Source organism: Homo sapiens, chromosome 11, assembly GCF_000001405.40.
Source record: "Homo sapiens chromosome 11, GRCh38.p14 Primary Assembly".
NCBI lineage: Eukaryota > Metazoa > Chordata > Mammalia > Primates > Hominidae > Homo > Homo sapiens.
The window spans coordinates 9,183,530-9,202,421 of record NC_000011.10 but is presented as its reverse complement, the minus strand read 5'-3'; the positions used below and the strand labels follow the sequence as shown (position 1 = coordinate 9,202,421).

The 18,892-nt window shown below is 42.3% G+C and overlaps 1 protein-coding gene across 5 annotated transcripts in view; it reads left to right on the top strand.

Moving 5' to 3' along the window:
• DENND5A (DENN domain containing 5A) overlaps window positions 1–18,892 on the top strand; it is a 126,526-nt gene that overhangs the window by 62,929 nt on the left and 44,705 nt on the right. For all 5 annotated transcript variants that reach the window (NR_145966.2, NM_001348749.2, NM_001243254.2 and 2 more), the window contains one exon: window positions 8,741–8,928. Coding sequence is in view for 4 of the 5 variants with exons in the window: in NM_001348749.2 (NP_001335678.1) it covers window positions 8,741–8,928 (188 nt within the window). In the remaining variant the exon portion in view is untranslated. The remainder of the gene's footprint in view (window positions 1–8,740; window positions 8,929–18,892) is intronic.

Sequence of the window (18,892 nt, the reverse complement as noted above, 5' to 3'; positions counted from 1 at the left end):
AGAGTTATTGTGACTCCTAAATTCTCATGTGTTTATTTCCTAAGAATAAAAACATTCTCTTAAATAACTATCATTGATCAAATTTGGAAAACCTAACATTGAGACAATACTATATTAAAGTTTCTCTGGTACCCGATAATGTCTGTTATGATAATTTAAAAAAATTCCTTATTCAGGATCTAGTGCCATATCATGCATTGCTTTTAGTTGTGAGTTTCTCAGCTTTTGTCTTTCATGACATAGACATTTTTGAAGAGTACAAGCAAGTTATTTTATAGACTGTCCCTTAATTTGGTTTTGTCTGATGTTTTCATGATTAGATTCAGATTATAAATTTTTGCCTAAAATACCATAGAAGTGATGTGCTTCTCTCAGTGCATTATATTAGGAGGCACATACTGTCAGTTTTCATGATTACAGGAGGCAGGCATATGATGTCATTTTGTCTCATTTTTGGTGATACTAATCTGCTTACTTGGTTAAGATGGTGTCTGTGGTTTCTTAACTGGAAAGTTATAATTTTTCCCTTGGTAATTAACATGTAAGTCATGGGGAGATACTTTGAAACTAATTATTCTGTTCTTCTTTAAAGTTTTGCCTAACCATTTTTTTTTTAGTTTTTATTTTTTGAATTATATTTGCAGTTTATGGATGCCTAATAGTTTAGCATTTATTGATGATTCTATTCTGAATCAGTTATTTCAAGAATAGTAGCAAAAAGGTGATTTTCTTTTTCTTTTCTTTTTCCTTTTGAGACAGGGTCTCACTCTGCTGCCCAGGTTGGAGTTAAGTGGTGCCTTCATGGCTCACTGCAGCCTCGTCCTCCCATGCTCAAGTGATCCTCCCACCTCAGCTTCCCGTGTAGCTGGAACTACAGGCATGCACCACCATGCTTGGCTAATTTTTTATTTTTTGTAGACATGGGGTCTTGCTACATTGCCCAGGCTGGTCTCAAACTCCTGGGCTGAACCTCCTGCCTGGTTTCCCAAAGTGCTGGGATTACAGGCGCCACTGTGCCCAGCCTTAAAATTTTTTTTTTTTTTTAAAGAAATAGAGTCTTATTCTATCACCCAGGCTAGAGTGTAGTGGCACAATAATGGCTCACTGCAGTCTTGATATCCTGGACTCAAGTGATCTTCCCATCTCAGCCGCCTGAGTAGCTGGGACTACAGGTGCCCACCACCATGCCTGGCTAATTAAAAAAAAATTTTTTTTTTTTGTAGAGCTAGGTTCTTGCTTTATTGCCCAGGCTGGCAGAATAGTGGTTTTCAAACTTTATCTTTATTTATTAATTGGCATTATACCATAATGAAGAGTGTTTCTTTCTCCTTTGTTTATTATTGTATGGATTCATAGATTTTTATTTTACTCAGGTTATAATTCACTATAATTATTTATTTTGATGCTCAAATTTCCCAGATTTGGTCCATGGGCAAAGGAATGGACCTCCACAATGGCAGGGCTTTTGCTTTTTGCTCATTGATGGATTCCAAGCACTAAAACTGTGGCTGGTATATAAGGGTGCTCAATAAATGTTGTTAAATAAATGAATAACTTAGGCTTTTAACAGGATCACTCTGGCCATTATATTAAGAGTATATCCCCAAAGGGAGAATGGAAGAAAGCAAAGAGTTCCGTTAAGAGGTAATTTGTAATAATCCAGGTGAGAGGTGATGTCAGTTAGAACTAAGGAGATAACAGTGAAGTGGTGTGGAATGGTTGGGTTCTGGATATAGTTTGAAGGTGAAGTAATGGAAACTATGTTGAACTGAAGAGCACATACCTCATATAAAGTGGATAGCCGCTAATTAGCTCCAGTTAATTCCTTGTGGGTATACTGGCCTGATGTTACTAAATATTCCAATAATTGATGAGGACCCAGATTTTTTACATGAAATCTCTGATTTTTAAATATTGGCAATAATGTTCTTTTTAAACACTGCAGGCCAAACAAAAAGCATCTGCTGGCTGAATGTAGTTCCTGAGGCTTCACTTTGCAACTTCTAGTTTAAGATACGAAGTTAGAGCCTCCTCTCTCTGGGTGAAATATAGACTTGGACAAATCATATTGCTTTCCTAGCTATTTCTTGGCTGGAGCTTCATAAAAATACTTTGAAATGGAGAATTAGTTGAATAGGGAGGAACTTCTCTGGTTTAGAACAGAACAGAGAGGAGGAAACCAAACTATATAGAGTGTTAGAAGATACAGTAGGCTTTTAGGCATTGGGGGTGTTTAGAGGCAAGGAAAGGATGATTGAAACAAATATGATGAACATAATGGAAAAATAACATTCTTCCATCTGAGTTTCTTTTGTATTTCCTAGAATATGGGTTACTGTATCCATAATAAGAATTTTAGGAGGTTTGAATGTAATTGAGATGGTTAGTATGTAGAATTGAATTTAACTTAGGACCTAAAGTCAGGCTCAGCATGGACAAGAGAAAGCTTTTTTCAGAAATTCCTGGATATTGCTGAGCCTGGCTGAGGCCACAGTGGAGTGGATTACTTTTCATTGGATGTAAATTATGCTTTTTGTTGTTAATAGAGTGCTTTAAACAATTTAGGTTGGTTTTCTTGAAGTAGTTATATTAATGATCCAAGGACATCTTCCTTGTATGGATAAAAATCACTCTGGCCAAAAACAAGCTATCACCACTGCAGTTGATTTTGCCTGCTGCATGTCCTGCCCTCTGAATAGAAAAGAGGTGTTACATAGGGAAAAGGAATGCAGGCTGAATTGTAAGATTCTGAAAGTGTAACCCTTTGGAATGCTGAATTGGCAGTTTTAAGCAGTGTTTTCTTTTTGGTATAGGTCATTTTATTTACTTTTAGATAATATTTATTCTTTAGTCCATATAGAATTAGTGTTTTTTTAATAGCATAATTTTTAATTGGTTGTTAAAAAATTATTGTTACTTTTTTTGAGACAGGGTCTCATTCTGTCACCTATGCTAGAGTGCAGTGGCACAATCATGACTCACTGCAGCCTTGACCTCCCCAGACTCAGATGATCCTCCCACCTCAGCCTCCTGGGTAGCTGGGACTACAGGCATGTACTGCCGAGTCTGGCTAGTTTCTGTATTTTTTGTAGAGATGAGGTTTTGCCATGTTGCCCAGGCTGATCTTGAACTCTGGGCTTAAGCAATCCACCTTCCTTGGCCTCCCAAAGTGCTGGGATTACAGGCATGAGCCACTGCACCTGGCCTTATTTAAAAATTATATGCAGAACAGAAGCTCTTTATCTGAAGTGGCCTGATAGAGTAGTTGATTGGAAACCAAAAAAGTCAGTTAAGTCACAGAATCCTAAAAATGATATGTACAATTAATTTTATAGTTAAACTATTTATTATTTATTATTATTTTTGAGACGGAGTTTGCTCTTGTTGCCTAAGCTAGAATGCAGTGGCATGATCTCGGCTCATTGCAACCTCCGCCTCCTGGGATCAAGTGAGTCTCCTGCCTCAGCCTCCCGAGTAGCTAGGACACCACACCTGGCTAATTTTTGTATTTTTAGTAGAGATGAGGTTTCACCATGTTGGCCGGGCTGGTCTCGAACTCCTGATCTCAGGTGATCCACCAGCCTCAGCCTCCCAAAGTGCTGGGATTACAGGCATGAGCCACCACACCTGGCCTAAATAATTTAACTTAAAACATATAACTGTATAGTCACTAATCTTTGACGAAGGGTCCAGGCATTTCTCATGATTATGACTTCACAAATCAGATATCTGCACTTCTTGCATAAACCACACCCATAATACATTGACTAGATTTCCTAGTTACTTTACTTTTCTTTTTTCTTTTTTTTTTTGAGGTGGAGTCTTGCTCTGTTGCCAGGCTGGAGTGCAGTGGCGCAATCTCGGCTCACTGCAACCTCTGTCTCCTGAGTTCAAGCAATTCTTCTGCCTCAGCCTCCTGAGTAGCTGGGACTACAGGTGTGCACCACCACGCCCACCTAATTTTTGTATTTTTGGTAGAGATGCAGTTTCTCCATGTTGGCCAGGATGGTCTCGATTTCTTGACCTCGTGATCCACCCGCCTCGGCCTCAAAGTGCTGGGATTACAGGTGTGAGCCACTGCGCCCAGCCCTGGTTACTTTTTTTTTTTTTTTAAAGTGGAGTGATAAAGAACCTTGCAAAAGAACATGAGCAGAGACTACTTCTAGATTTTTGTAGTGTTCCCTAGTTTTTTATTCTTAATTGCTTCATGATATGCCTAATTCAATTACAGTGTTTTTTAGTGACTTTGTACTACTGAGTCTTTTAAAAGCATTTAATTTTGTTTCCAGAGAAACAGACATCCTTTCTTTTTGCCCTCAGATTTTACCATTTATTTACACAATATTTGGTTACGTTGTATAATCCAGTAGTAAGTTCAGCTAGCACAGGTTTGGGAACAAATGAGTGGGAGCAATGTATGCTTTACTCAGAGTGGGGAAAATCAATCGGTAAAGTGAGTTGGCTAAGTGGACGTTGGTAAGAAATCTCCAATGATATTTTACTATCTAAAGTAGTCTTTTACTGTAAAAATAATGATTGCTTAAGGCATATAATTAAAACAATTCCAAAGGGAATCAAATATTTTCCTCTCTTTTCTTCATATAGTAGCTGGATATCCAATTTTTTGTGTATCCTTAATGAAAATAATAGTTTTTAAAAACAAATAAATAATATGTGCACAAATAATGCAGAGAAAGTTGAAGGTTCTCCCCAACTCACTTTTTTTTAAGACGGGGTCTTGCTCTGTTGCCCAGGCTAGAGTGCAGTGGCGCGATCTCAGCCCCCTATAGCTTCTACCTCCTGGGTTCAAGCAGTTCTTGTGCCTCAGCCCCCCAAGTAGCTGGGACTACAGGTACGTGCAACCACACCTGGCTAATTTTTGTATTTTTAGCAGAGATGGGATTTGCCATGTTGGCCAGCCTGGTCTCAAACTCCTGACCTCAAGTGAACTGGCCACCTTGGCCTCCCAAAGTGTTGGGATTACAGGCGTGAGCCACTGCACTCAGCCCCTTTTTCTTTGATCTAGTATCCTATCCCTGAGAAGTAATCTCTTAATTTTTAAAAATTCCCTCTTTTCCAGTATTTTTAATAATACACTATATATATATATTTTTTTTGAGATGGAGTTTCACTCTGTTGCCCAGGTTGGAGTGCAGTGGCGCGATCTTGGCTCGCTGCAACCTCTGCCTCCCGGGTTCAAACGATTCTTCTGCCTCAGCCTCCCTAGTAGCTGGGATTACAGGCACGTGCCACCATACCCAGCTAATTTTTGTGTTTTTAGTAGAGACGGGGTTTTGCTATTCTTGCCAGGTTGGTCTTAAACTCCTGACTTCAAGCGATCCGCCTACCTTGGCCTGCCAAGGTGCTAGGATTACAGGCATGAGCCACCACACCTGGCCTAATGTACTATTTTTTATGTTAGGTGTTGAATATATGTGTATTAATTTTAATATTCTTTAAATTATACATATACACTATGAAATCTGTATGGTATATTAAAATAAAACTTGAGGCCAGGTGTGGTGGCTCACGCCTGTAATCCCAGCACTTTGAGAGGCCAAGGAGGACAGATCACTTGAGATCAGAAGCTTAAGACCAACCTGACCAACATGATAAAACCTCATCTCTACTAAAAATACAAAAATTAGCTGGGTGTGGTGGTACACACTTGTAATCCCAGCTACTCCAGAGGCTGAGGCACGAGAATCACTTGAACCCAGGAGACAGAGGTTGCAGTGAGCAGAGATCCCACCACTGCGCTCCAGCCTGGGCGACAGAGCAAGACCCTGTCTCCAATAAAATAATAAATAAATAAAATAAAATTTGAAAAAAGGCATTTCAGGAGTGTAAAATGAAGGGTAGAAATTCACAGCATTAGAAGAGTGTACAGCGAAGTGTGTAACTTCTGCCTCTGCACCCTGGTTCTCCTTCAGGGAGGTTACCACTGTTTTCTGCTTACTTGTAGATATAGCCGTGTATATACTATATATATACTTTTCAAAAAGAACACAAATGGGAGCATACTAATCATTGTTTTGCAACCTCCCAGGATAGTTTATAATTGTTCATAAATACGTAGGAGCTGCCCTGTAGTTTGTTTAGAGGGGGCTTATTTATAGAGTGATTCCAAGTCTGATGTCTTTATCTGCACATACAAGTCATAAAAATGGGCCGGGCACGGTGGCTCACACCTGTAATCCCAGCAGTTTGGGAGGCCGAGGTGGGTGGATCATTTGAGGTGAGGAGTTCGAGACCACCCTTGCCAACATGATGAAACTCCTTCTCTACTAAAAATACAAAAATTAGCCAGGCATGGTGGCTCGTGCCTATAATCCCAGCTACTGGGGAGGCTGAGGCAAGAGAATCGCTTGAACCTGGGAAGCATAGGTTGCAGTGAGCCGAGATTGCGCCACTGCACTCCAACCTGGGTGACAGAGCGAGACTTTGTCTCAAAAAACAAAAAAAGTGCTGGGATTACAGGTTTGAGCCATTACACCCTATTTAAAAGACATCCTTTTTTTTTTGTTTTTTGAGACAATGTCACTTAAAAGATATTCTTACTGCCCAGTAGCTTCCAAGGGTTTTAGGAGCTGTGTGTTTCAGGAACCGGGGAAAAGACCAAATAGATACATATTTATCACACTAGTAAAGTTATCTACAGGTTATGCTCTTCTTTGATTAGCTAGGAGCAAGGTGATAGGCAACTTTCAAAGCTTTATTAGTGAGCAAATGTAGGATGTTTTGCTAAACTTCTACCTTAATACTTTTCAGCTTCTGTTCCCTTTGTACTGAGACTTCCTCATTTCCTAGAAAGTTTTTTGTTACTTACAACTACTTTATGAACCAAGCTGTGATTTAAATGGTGGAGTGGGTTTTTAGTGCATAACATCATTTTAATTCCTATGACAGCTCATTTGAAACCAGCCATTCCAGAAGGATTTTACTCATATGATTTAAAAATGCATATTTCTGCTTTGTCCTTAAATGCCTGAAACCATCATATCATCATATCATTACAAATAGTAATTTGTAAAATTTAAGTTTTAGGCCAAGCGCAGTGGCTCATTCCTGTAATCCCAGCACTTTGGGAGGCCGAGGCAGGCGGATCACCTGAGGTTGGGAGTTCGTGACCAGCCTGACATGGAGAAACCTTGTCTCTACTAAAAAATACAAAATTAGCTCGGGTGGTGGCGCATGCCTGTAATCCCAGCTACTCAGGAGGCTGAGGCAGGAGAATCGCTTAAACCCGGGAGGTGGAGGTTGTGGAGCTGAGATTGTGCCATTGCACTGCAGCCTGGGCAATAACAGCAAAACTCCGTCAAAAAAAAAAAAAAAGTTTTAACTAGTCAATTTTATTGGCTGTACCAATATATTTATTAGTCATTAAAAAAAAAAAAAAAAGGCTGGCTGGGCGCGGTGGCTCACACCTGTAATCCCAGCACTTTGGGAGGCTGAGGCGGGTGGATCACAAGGTTAGGAGTTCGAGACCAGCCTGGCCGAGGTGGTGAAACCCCGTCTCTACCAAAAACACAAAATTAGCCAGGTGCGGTGGTGGGCACCTGTAATCCCAGCTACTCGGGAGGCTGAGGCAGGAGAATCACTTGAACCCAGGAGGTGGAGGTTGCAGTGAGCTGAGATGGTGCCACTGCACTCTAGCCTGGGCAACAGAGCAAGACCCCGTCACAAAAAAAAAAAAGGCCTAGAAATTACATTCTGAAGATAAGCCAAATATGATCACAAGCCCACGAGCCTTCCCTTTAGGCTATGATCTCTGACCTATAACAAGAGTTTTGAGTAGCTAAAGTCAATCCTCTGAGTCTTTCAAGTTCTAGGGAAGCCTTTTTTTTTTTTTTAAGAAGGAGTCTAGCTCTGTCACTGGCTGGCGTGTGCAGCTGTGCAGTCTCGGCTCACTGCAACCTCTGCCTCCCAGGTTCAAGCAATTCTTACGTCTCAGCCTCCCAAGTAGCTGGGATTACAGGTGCATGCCACCACGCCCGGCTAATTTTTGTATTTTTAGTAGAGATGGGGTTTCACCATGTTGGTTGGCCAGTCTGGTCTCGAACTCCTGACCTCAAGTGATTCACCTGCCTCGGCCTCCCAAAGTGCTGGCATTACAGGCGTGAGCCACCATGCCCAGCCTCTAGGGAAGCTTTTTATTGAAACGTTATAATAACATTTTTATGCTGTTCTCATTCAGGAAAGGTTGCCAGGTGTAGAGCAGACTTGGCTAGTGTGGAAAACCAGCTTCTGCATGCTTGGTGGTTCTTTGTGCTTGACTTTGCAGGCAAAGCTCACATAAGCTCCTTATAGGATGTTCTGCAGATGTATCTTAGTGAGAACTGAGCATGTTTTTGCTTCCATGCTGAATGGAGACCCAGGACCACTGTCTTTCTTTTTGTTCAGTTCTCCTACCCCCTTTCTTAAGAGGATCTACTTAACATTCTGTGGTAGTATTTGGAGCAAGATGTCATTAATTATTTTTGTTGTATTTCCATATTAGATTTTATTATGAGCAAGGACCTGTGTGTGTAGGTTTATTTCAATTTGTGGTCCACAAGGGTCTCTTGGTTGTCTCTTGGACACCCTCAAGGGAATCACATTGAGCATACCCTAGCTGAAGTTTATCGTGATCGTTTCTAAATAAGAAATTGTACTGAAAGTTTTAACTTACTGTTTGGAAAGCAAGTGCCTTGTTTTTGACTGATTTGTGTGTGTGCTTTTTTTGTTGTTGTTGACCCAGATTACCAGAGACTGATGACTGTGGCGGAGACGATTACAGCTCTCATGTTTCCTTTCCAGTGGCAGCATGTCTATGTCCCTATTCTCCCAGCTTCTCTCCTGCATTTCTTAGATGCTCCTGTTCCATACCTGATGGGTTTGCATTCCAATGGCCTGGATGACCGGTCAAAGCTGGAGCTGCCTCAAGAGGTGAGATCTTGAGTGTTGGTGCCTCTGGCCCCAATCCAGGATTGGGGAGAGAAGGGCTTTGGGATGAACCCAGCATGCATGATGTTACCAAGTTTATTTTCTTCTATTTTGGTGATTATGAATAACTTCTCAGGAAAAAAGTAAAAACAATGAATATTTAGTTCAATTTATGTCATCCCAGAGACACTTATTATCTTTATCAACTGACATATGTACATTGTAATTTCTGTATTTATGCTATTGTTTTTGTTTTGTTTTGCTTTTTAAGAGACAAGGTCTTGCTGTGTTACCCAGGCTGGGTGCAGTAGCATGATCGTAGCTTACTGTAGCCTTGAACTCCTGGGCTCAAGTGAGCCTCCTGACTCAGCCTCCTGAGTAGTTGGGACTAAAGGAGTGTGCCACGATGCCCAGCTAATTGTTTTTTTATGTCTTGTAGATGCAGGGTCTCACCATGTTGCCCAGGCTGGTCTCGAACTCCTGGGCTCAAGTAATCCTCCTGCCTTGGCTTCCCAAAGTGTTGGGATTATAGGCATGAGCCACTGTGCCTGGCTAAGAAAAGAATTGATTTAAAATAATGTATTTCCTATTCCATTCTAAAGTAGATTTAAAGCATGATTAGAAATAAGATTTTTTATTTTTAATTTTTTTAGAATTACCAGCAGAACTGGTATGTTACTTTGTGGCTGTTGTGAAACTACCTGCAGGGAAGTGCTTTCCTACTTTGAATTTCTTAGTCATTAGAAAGGCCTGGGAAGAAGACTTTGGAGTATACATACACTGGTGTCACCATGACTCTTCGTTTCCTCCTTCCACCACCATTTTTTTGGGGGTAGAGTTTTTTTTTTGTTTTTTTTTGTTTTTTTTTTGAGACGAAGTCTCGCACTGTCACCCAGGCTGGAGTGCAGTGGCACAATCTTGGCTGACTGCAACCTCTGCCTTCCAGGTTCAAGTGATTCTCCTGCTTCAGTCTCCCAAGTAGCTGTGATTACAGGTGCCCACCACCACACCCGGCTAAATTTTTGTATTTTTAGTAGAGACGGGGTTTCACTATGTTGGCCAGGCTGGTCTCGAACGCCTGACCTCATGATCCACCCGCCTTGGCCTCCCAAAGTGCTGGGATTACAGGCGTGAGCCACCGCGCCCGGCCGGGGGTAGAGATTTTTGTATATAAGTGAGGAATATAAGTGAGGGGCCCCAAGAAGAGAGCATTCTCATGGAACTGGATCTGGGCAGCACTGTGTCACTGGTCATGACTGGGCAGCATCTTTGATGAATACCCTGATAATTAGACCATGTCTGTGATATTTAAATTATAGTCAAATGCATCTCTGCTCTTTTCTCTCTTCTTTAGTTTTAGAATCAAAATGTCTTCCTTGTCTTCCTTGTAGCTTCTTCCATTTCTGCCCTTTTTTCTTCTTTGACTTTATAGAGCGTTGTGCTCTTTGGGGTGGAACAAGATTAATTAAGGAAAAAAAATCTAAATGATGGATAAAATCATTGAGTTGAGATAATATTGGGGTTTTTTGTGTACTTGCTTACTGTACCATACATAAACCTGAAGAGTCGACTGGAGAAAGAAGAGCTTTTTGTTGTTTGCTTTAAACAAATGTCTATTTAATATTGATACAACTTAGTCAACCTAATTATGATTCTGTAAAGTCACAAAAAGAACAATAACAAAAAATTGTTGAAGGTGGAAGGCCAAAGAGGCAAGCTATGTGCATACTTTAATACATAGGCCACTAAGCAAGAAGCCAGATTTCTCAGTTTTATTTTCCTCTTTGGCATCAGCTTTCTTTATACTTGGGGCAAATTCTGATCTCTCTAGGATTTTTCAACGTTGTTCCCTATGTGCTTCATGTATACGGCTATACAAAGGGACCTCTGAGGGATCAACAGATTTCTTAATGGGACTGTTTAAGAAACCATGGGTTGTTTAAGAAACCCAAAAGTTGGCCGGGTGCGGTGGCTCACGCCTATAATCCCATCACTTTGGGAGGCCGAGGCGGGCAGATCACCTGAAGTCAGGAGTTCGAGACCAGTCTGGTCAACATGGTGAAACTCCATCTCTACTAAAAATACAAAAAAATTAGCTGGGCATGGTGGTGCACGCCTGTAGTCCCAGCTACGTGGGAGGCTGAGGCAGGAGAATTGTTGAAGCCCGGAGCCAGAGGTTGCAGTGAGCCGAGATCACGCCACTGCACTCCAACCTGGGTGGATCGCGCCACTGCACTCCAGCCTGGGTGACAGTGTGAGACTCCACCTCAAAAAAAAAACAGAAAAGAAACCCAAAAGTTCCCTCTGTTCTGGGCTATTGGAGCCTCCATGTTGCTGTATTCCCCATCCCTGCTATAAACTTTGTATCTGAGCTTCTGGCTCCCCTGTAGTCTGCTTGGGAAGGAGTGGTGACAGTGGAACAGTAGAATTAACTGTGTGTGCTTCATAAGTGGTTCTTGGGTTTCAGAGTCCTAGTTCATCCACACCTGTCTTCTGAAGGTCACACATTTGTGGGAGCAGTTATATAGCTGGATATTTTCTACCTTGATTTTTAGCAGATAAGCTCTGGGGTATCTGAGCCTATGTATTTCCCGTGGAAAACCTTAGACTAGGGGAAGAGAGCTGGCTTTGAAAGACGACTTTGGGGTGTCTCAGAAATGACATGTTCATAGTAAAAAATGCTAACAGTGCACAAAAGCATAAACAATAAAATTAAAATTACCTCAAATTTTACCACCCAGAGATAACTACTTTTGATATTTTGATGCACATCTTTAAAGTATGTGGTATCTTTTAACTACAGTCTTAGAAGGAAGCTTTGGGGCAGTGTATTAGTCCATTTTTACACTGCTGAGAAAGACATACCTGAGACCGGGCAGTTTACAAAAGAAAGAGGTTTAATGGACTTAGAGTTCCATGTGGCTGGGAAAGCCTCACAATCATGGTGGAAGGCAAGGAGGAGCAAGTCACGTCTTACATGGATGGCAGCAGGCAAAGAGAGAGCTTGTGCAGGGAAACTCCCCCTTATGAAACCATCAGATCTTGTGAGACTTATTCACTATCACGAGAACAGCATGGGAAAGACCTGCCCCCATGATTCAACTACCCCCTACTGGGTACCTCACACAACACATGGGAATTTAAGATGAGATTTGGGTGGGGACACAGCCAAACCGTATCACTCTGCCCTGGCCCCTTCCAAATCTTATGCCCTCACATTTTATAACCAATCATGCCTCCCAACAGTCCCCCAAAATCTTATTTCAGCATTAACTCAAAAGTCCATAGTCTAAAGTCTCATCTGAGACAAGACAAGTCCTTTCCTTATAAGCCTGTAAAATCAAAAGCAAGTTAGTTACTTCCTAGATACAATGAGGGTACAGGCATTAGATAAATATTGCCATTCCAAATGAGAGAAATTGGCCAAAAACAAAGAGCTGCAGGCCCCATGCAAGTCTGAAATCCAGCGGGGCAGTCAAATCTTAAAGTTCCAAAATGATCTCCTTTGACTCCGTGTCTCACGTCCAGGTCACACTGATGCAAGAGGTGGATTCCCTGGCTGGGCACAGTGGCTCACGCCTGTAATCCCAGCACTTTGGGAGGCCGAGGCAGGTGGATCACCTGAGGTCGGGAGTTCAAGACCAGCCTGACCAACGTGGAGATACGCCATCTCTACTTAAAACACAAAATTGGCTGGGCATGGTGGCACAAGCCTGTTATCCCACCTACTCGAGAGGCTGAGGCAGGAGAATTGCTTGAATCTGGGAGGTGGAGGTTGCAGTGAGCTGAGATTGTGCCATTGCACTCTAGCCTGGGCAACAATAGTGAAACTCCATCTCAAAAACAAACAAACAAACAAAAAAACCAAAAAAAAAAAACCAAACAACAGCAACAAAAAAAGAGGTGGGTTCCCATAGTCTTGGGCTGCTCCACCCCTGTGGCTTTGCAGGGTACAGCCTCCCTCCTGGCTGCTTTTATGGGCTGGCGTTGAGTGTCTGTGGCTTTTCCAGGCACACAGTGCAAGCTGTCAGTGGATCTACCATTCTGGGGTCTGAAGGATGATGGCTTTCTTCTCACAGCTCCACTAGGCAGTGTCTCAGTAGGGACTCTGTGTGGGGGCTCTGACCCTACATTTCCCTTCCGCACTACTCTAGCAGAAGTTCTCCATGAGGGCCCTGTCCCTGCAACAAACTTCTCTCTGGGCATCCAGGTATTTCCGTACCTCTGCAAAAATCTAGGCAGAGGTTCCCAAACCCCAATTCTTGACTTCCATGTACTTGCAGGCTCAATACCACGTGGAAGCTGCCAAGGCTTGGGACTTGCACCCTCTGAAGCCACAGCCTGAGCTCTGTGATAGCCCCTTTCAGCCACAGCTGGAGCAGCTGGGATGCAGGGCACCAAGTCCCTAGGCTGCACACAGCATGGGGACCCTGTGTCAGGCCCACGAAACCACTTTTTCCTCCTAGGCCCCCAGGCCTGTAAAGGGAGGGGCTGCCGTGAAGACCTCTGATATGCTCTGGAGACATTTACCCCCATTGTCTTGGGGATTAACATTTGGCTTCTTGTTACTTATGTAAATTTCTGTAGCCAGCTTGACTTTTCTCCTCAGAAAATGGGATTTTCTTTTCTATTGCATTGTCAGGCTGCAAATTTTCCAAACTTTTATGCTCTGTTTCCCTTTTAAAACTGAATGTCTTTAACAGCACCCAAGAGACCTCTTGAATGCTTTGCTGCTTAGAAATTTCTTCTGCCAGATACCCTAGATCATCTCTCTTAAGTTCAAAGTCACACAAATCTCTAGGGTAGGGGCAAAATGCCGCCAGTCTCTTCAGTAAAACACAAGAGTCACCTTTGCTCCAGTTCCCAGCAAGTTCCTTATCTCCATCTGAAACCACCTCAGCCTGGATTTCATTGTCCATATCATTATTAGCATTTTGGTCACAGCCATTCAACAAGTCTCTAGGGAGTTCCAAACTTTCCCACATTTTCCTGTCTTCTCCTGATCCCTCCAAACTGTTCCAATCTCTGCCTGACACCCAGTTTCAATGTTGCTTCCACATTTTTGGGTATCTTTTAAGCAGCGCCCCACTCTACTGGTACCAATTAACTGTGTTAGTCTTTTCTCATGTTGCTGATAAAGACATACCTGAGAGTGGGAAGAAAAAGAGGTTTAATGGACTTAACAGTTCCTCGTGGCTGGGGAAGCCTCACAATCATGGTGGAAGGCAAGGAGGAGCAAATCATGTTTACATGGATGGCAGCAGGCAAAGAGAGAGCTTCTGCAGGGAAACTCCCCCTTATAAAACCATCAGATCTCTTGAGACTTATTCACTGTCACAAGAACAGTATGGGAAAGACCTGCCGCCATGATTCAACTATCCCCCACTGGGTCCCTCCCACAACACGTGAGAATTTAAGATGAGATTTGGGTGGGGACACAGCCAAACCATATCCGGCAGGGCTGGGGAAATTTACCTGGGACCGTATAAGGGGGCATCATCAGGGTAGTGAGGTGGGGCAAGCTTGGTTTATAAAAAGGACTTTCTCCAGAGGGACAGAGAGTGTACATTTCCTAGCCCACCAAATCAGAATTCATCAGTTACTGCCGTCTTTGGGCATCAGAAGTCTGTAAAAAGCTTTTTGTTCCTTTTTGCACCAACACATGAGCTCAGCTGGCCCTGAGCAAGTGAAGGTACTGAGCTGCCTTTGTGAGGCATCCTTTGTCTTAGGCTTCTCTTTGGAGCTTCGTTGTCTGAGTTCAGGAAGGAGGCATTTCATCCACAGCTATATTACAGAATTAAGCAAAGGATATTAGAGTAAAGAAAGGGGTACCATTTTTTTCTATCTTGGACCCCTTTTTCCTACTTTTCCCCCATTTTCTCAGGACACTCCTTCAATAGCTTTTTCCCAGTCATCTGTGTGTTGAACTCCTTTTCAATGAATAACATGAGGATAGACTGGAGAAACAGGCTGGCTGTTTTTTGGTATTAGGAATTGAGCATTGGGAAAGATCATTGTGACCTTGAGCGGAAGATATTTGGGAGACTTCTTGGGATTTGGGGGATCCATGTGATCACTACCTCAGAGCAGCTAAGTCTACCCATCATCCCTCTCAACAAGGCAGGAGGTTAACAGAGGAAAACTGATCACTTGGCATTCGGTACCTCTTCCAGGCTACTCTCCCCAAAGCTGTTAGGTAAGAAGTAACCCCTCGTCAGCTGAGGAAGGAGGATATATGAGGAGTTCCTAGTATTTTGTAAGTGCTTCTGTGTGCTAGAGCCCCTCTGTATGATGGGAGGAAACAGCATGAGGCTATTGTATGAGTCTAGTAATTGACTATTGTATGAGTGTAGTAATTTGCTTTTTTACCACTCCCTCCTTTAGCTCAATTCTTTCTTCTCTTTTTTTTGTTTGAGATGGAGTCTTGCTCTGTTACCTAGGCTGGAGTGCAGTGGTGCCATCTCAGCTCACTGCAACCTCTGCTTCACGGGTTCAAGCAATTTTCCTGCCTCAGTCTCCCGAGTAGCTGGGATTACAGGCACACACCGCAATGCCTGGCTAATTTTTTTTGTGTTTTTAGTAGAGACGGGGTTTCACCATGTTGGCCAGACTGGTCTTGAACTCCTGACTTCAAGTGATCTGCCCGCCTCAGCCTCCCAAAGTGCTGGGATTACAGGCGTGAGCCACCGCACCCGGCTCTTTTAAAACTCAGTCTCTAGGGTATATTAACTTCAACCAATTTTTGCAAAGAATGGCTAGTGGTGCCTACTCAGAGGGTCCTATCTTATCTTAATCTAATTCATCTCTGAAATGTGCATGGGCATATTTCTTCTCTACCCACCTCTGACCAAAGGTTTCTACAAATGTGGACACAGCATTTGGAGTTTTAAAGATTCTTTACAGACTCTATATTTGGTTCACAGTAGTGGGAGAAAAGCCAACCAAGCATTGTTTAGTAGATGTAGGTATTTCTAGCTGTTTCTGTGTTTCCTATTGGAGAAACTGCTTTTTTCTTCTGAGGAGAGGGTAACTGAGGAGGTAAATGATTGCATTGTGTGCCTTTCGTGGGTCACAGTGGCTTGTTTTGTTAGGTGTATGGACAGGGCTTATGAGGCAGGTGATCTTCATGACTAGATGATTTAATTCTGTCTTTATCTCTTCTAATGGCGCAGCCTGATGACATAATTTTAAAATCTTAAAGGAATAAGCAAAATGTAGCGTGTTTTTAGGTGTTAAGTTAAACATTTATTGGCCTTTTGACTAGGTGGGGTTCAAAGTTGTTATCCAGTGGAGGAGCTCTAGAAAGTGAAATTTAAAGTGATTCTTACAGTCTTTGAATTTTTGACATGGGAAAGCTCTCTTAGTTATAGATTGGTAGACAGAGTAATTTATGCACTCAGCAAATGTTTATTGAATGATACACACATGGACTTGTTAAACATGCAGTTTTAATAGATTGAGAGTTTATGAAATAGTTATATTAAGCTGGACTTACGCCTACCCTTCAGTGTCTTCTTTTTTATTTTTTATTATCACAGACACAGAGACAATACAGACACACAGAGACAACACACAGAAATACAATAGACACACATGCACAGACACGTAAACATCCAGAAAACGCACACACACAGACAACACAGACACAGATACACACACACAAATTTACAGACAGCTCACACAGAGGCACAAAGACACAGAGATAACATACACAGCCACACACACAGACGCAGACCACACATACAGGAACAACACACACGTAGACACAGACACGTACAGAGACACACAGATACACAAATATACAAGCACACACAGACACATATACATCTTAAGTTCTGGGATACATGTGCAGAACGTGCAGGGTTGTAACATAGGTATACATGTGCCATGGTGGTTTGCTGCATCCATCAACCTGTTATCTACATTAGGGTATTTCTCCTAATGCTATCCCTCCCCTAGCCCCTGCAGTGTTTTCTTTTAGAATATGACTTGTTGGCATAGGGAGAAACAGATCAATGAAACAACATTTAGATATACAATAGGGATACACACTCAAGGAAGAGCTATTTAATAATGGAGCTGGAAAAATTGCTTATCTGTAGGGGAAAAAAGTAAACCATAACAAAATCAACTTCAGATGGATTAAGAAGTTAAATGTCAAAAGCACAAGTTTAAATCTTGTGGAAAAAAAAATTAATAAATACCTTTCTGACTTCTGGCTAGGGAAGGAGTTTTGTAAACAAGTTATAAAAAGCACTATCCATCAAAGAAAATAAAAGATTGATAATTGGGGGTTTTTTTTAATTGGTCCAGAGTCTCACACTGTCGCCCAGGCTGGAGTGCAGTGGCGCAATCTCGACTCACTGCAGACTCCGCCTGCTGGGTTCATATGATTCTCCTGCCTCAGCCTCCCAAGTAGCTGGGATTACAGGTGTGTGCCACAATGCCCGGCTAATTTTTGTATTTTTAGTAGAGATGAGGTTTCGCCATGTTGGTCAGGCTGGTCTCGAACTCCTGACCTCAGGTGATCCACCCACCTGGCCTCCCAAAGTGCTGGGATTACAGGCGTGAGGCACTGTGCCCAGCCTGATAAATTGGATTTTCTAAATGAAGAAAAAGACACCTTAAAGATAAAAACTGAAGAAATACATAACATTTATAACCTACAAAGAGTTAATATCAACAGAATATAAAGAACTGCAAGTGGGTAAGAAGGTGATAAGCAATCCAATAGAAACATGGCATAAGATATGAACAGGCATTGCGTAAAAAATGCACATTTCTTAATTTCTCTTAATTTCTTAATCAGGGAAGTGAAATCAAATACACGATGCAGTGCCATTTTATGCTCATTTTGTTGGCAAATTTCAAGAAGTGTGATAATACCAAGTTTTGGGAGGGATTTGGATCAGTAGGATCACTTTAGTTTGCTGGTTAAAAATGTAAATTGTTGCAACCACTTTGGAATACAGCTAGGCATCATTTTCTAAAGTGGGATATTTGCATACCTTACAACACTGTGGTTCTACTCCTAGGATATACCCATATATAAAATCTTGCAGGAGTCCAAGAAAACATGTAATAACAATCAGTGTAAATACAGTAAACAAAAAACAACTGAAATGTCTTTTTTTTTTTTCTTTTGAGACGGAGTCTCGCTCTGTCGCCCAGGCTGGAGTGCAGTGGCGCGATCTTGGCTCACTGCAAGCTCCGCCTCCGAGGTTCATGACATTCTCCTGCCTCAGCCTTCCAAGTAGCTGGGACTATAGGCACCCGCCACCACGCCCGGCTAATTTTTTTGCATTTTTAGTAGAGACAGGGTTTCACCATGTTGGCTAGGATGGTCTCTATCTCCTGACCTTGTGATGCGCCCGCCTCGGCCTCCCAAAGTGCTGGGATTACAGGTGTGAGCCACTGTGCCCGGCCCAAATGTCTTTTTTTTTTTGAGATGGAGTTTCACTGTTGTTGCCCAAGCTGTAGTGCAATGGCATGATCTCGGCTCCCTGCAACCTCTGCCTCCCAGGTTCAAGCGATTCTCCTGCCTCAGCTTCCCTAGTAGCTGGGATTACAGGGGTGAGCCACGGCGCCCGGCCTCAAATGTCTTTTAACAGGAAAACTGATCAATATATTATGTTATATTCATATTGGTGGAATATTATAGAAGAGTGAAAATGAATGAAGTATGGCTACACACAACAAAATGGTTGAATCTCAACCTAATGTTGATTGAAGTTACTACCAAAAGACTGCTTATGGAATGATAATCCTTGTATAAAATTTAAAAACCTGGCTGGGTGTGGTGGCTCACACCTGATCCCACCCAGTATTTTGGGAGGCTGAGGTGGGAGGATTGCTTGAGGCCAGGAGTTCAAGACCAGCCTGGGCAACACAGCGACACTCTGTCTCAACAACAACAATTAGCCAGGTGTGATGTTGTGTGCCTATAGTCCAAGCTACTTGGCAGCCC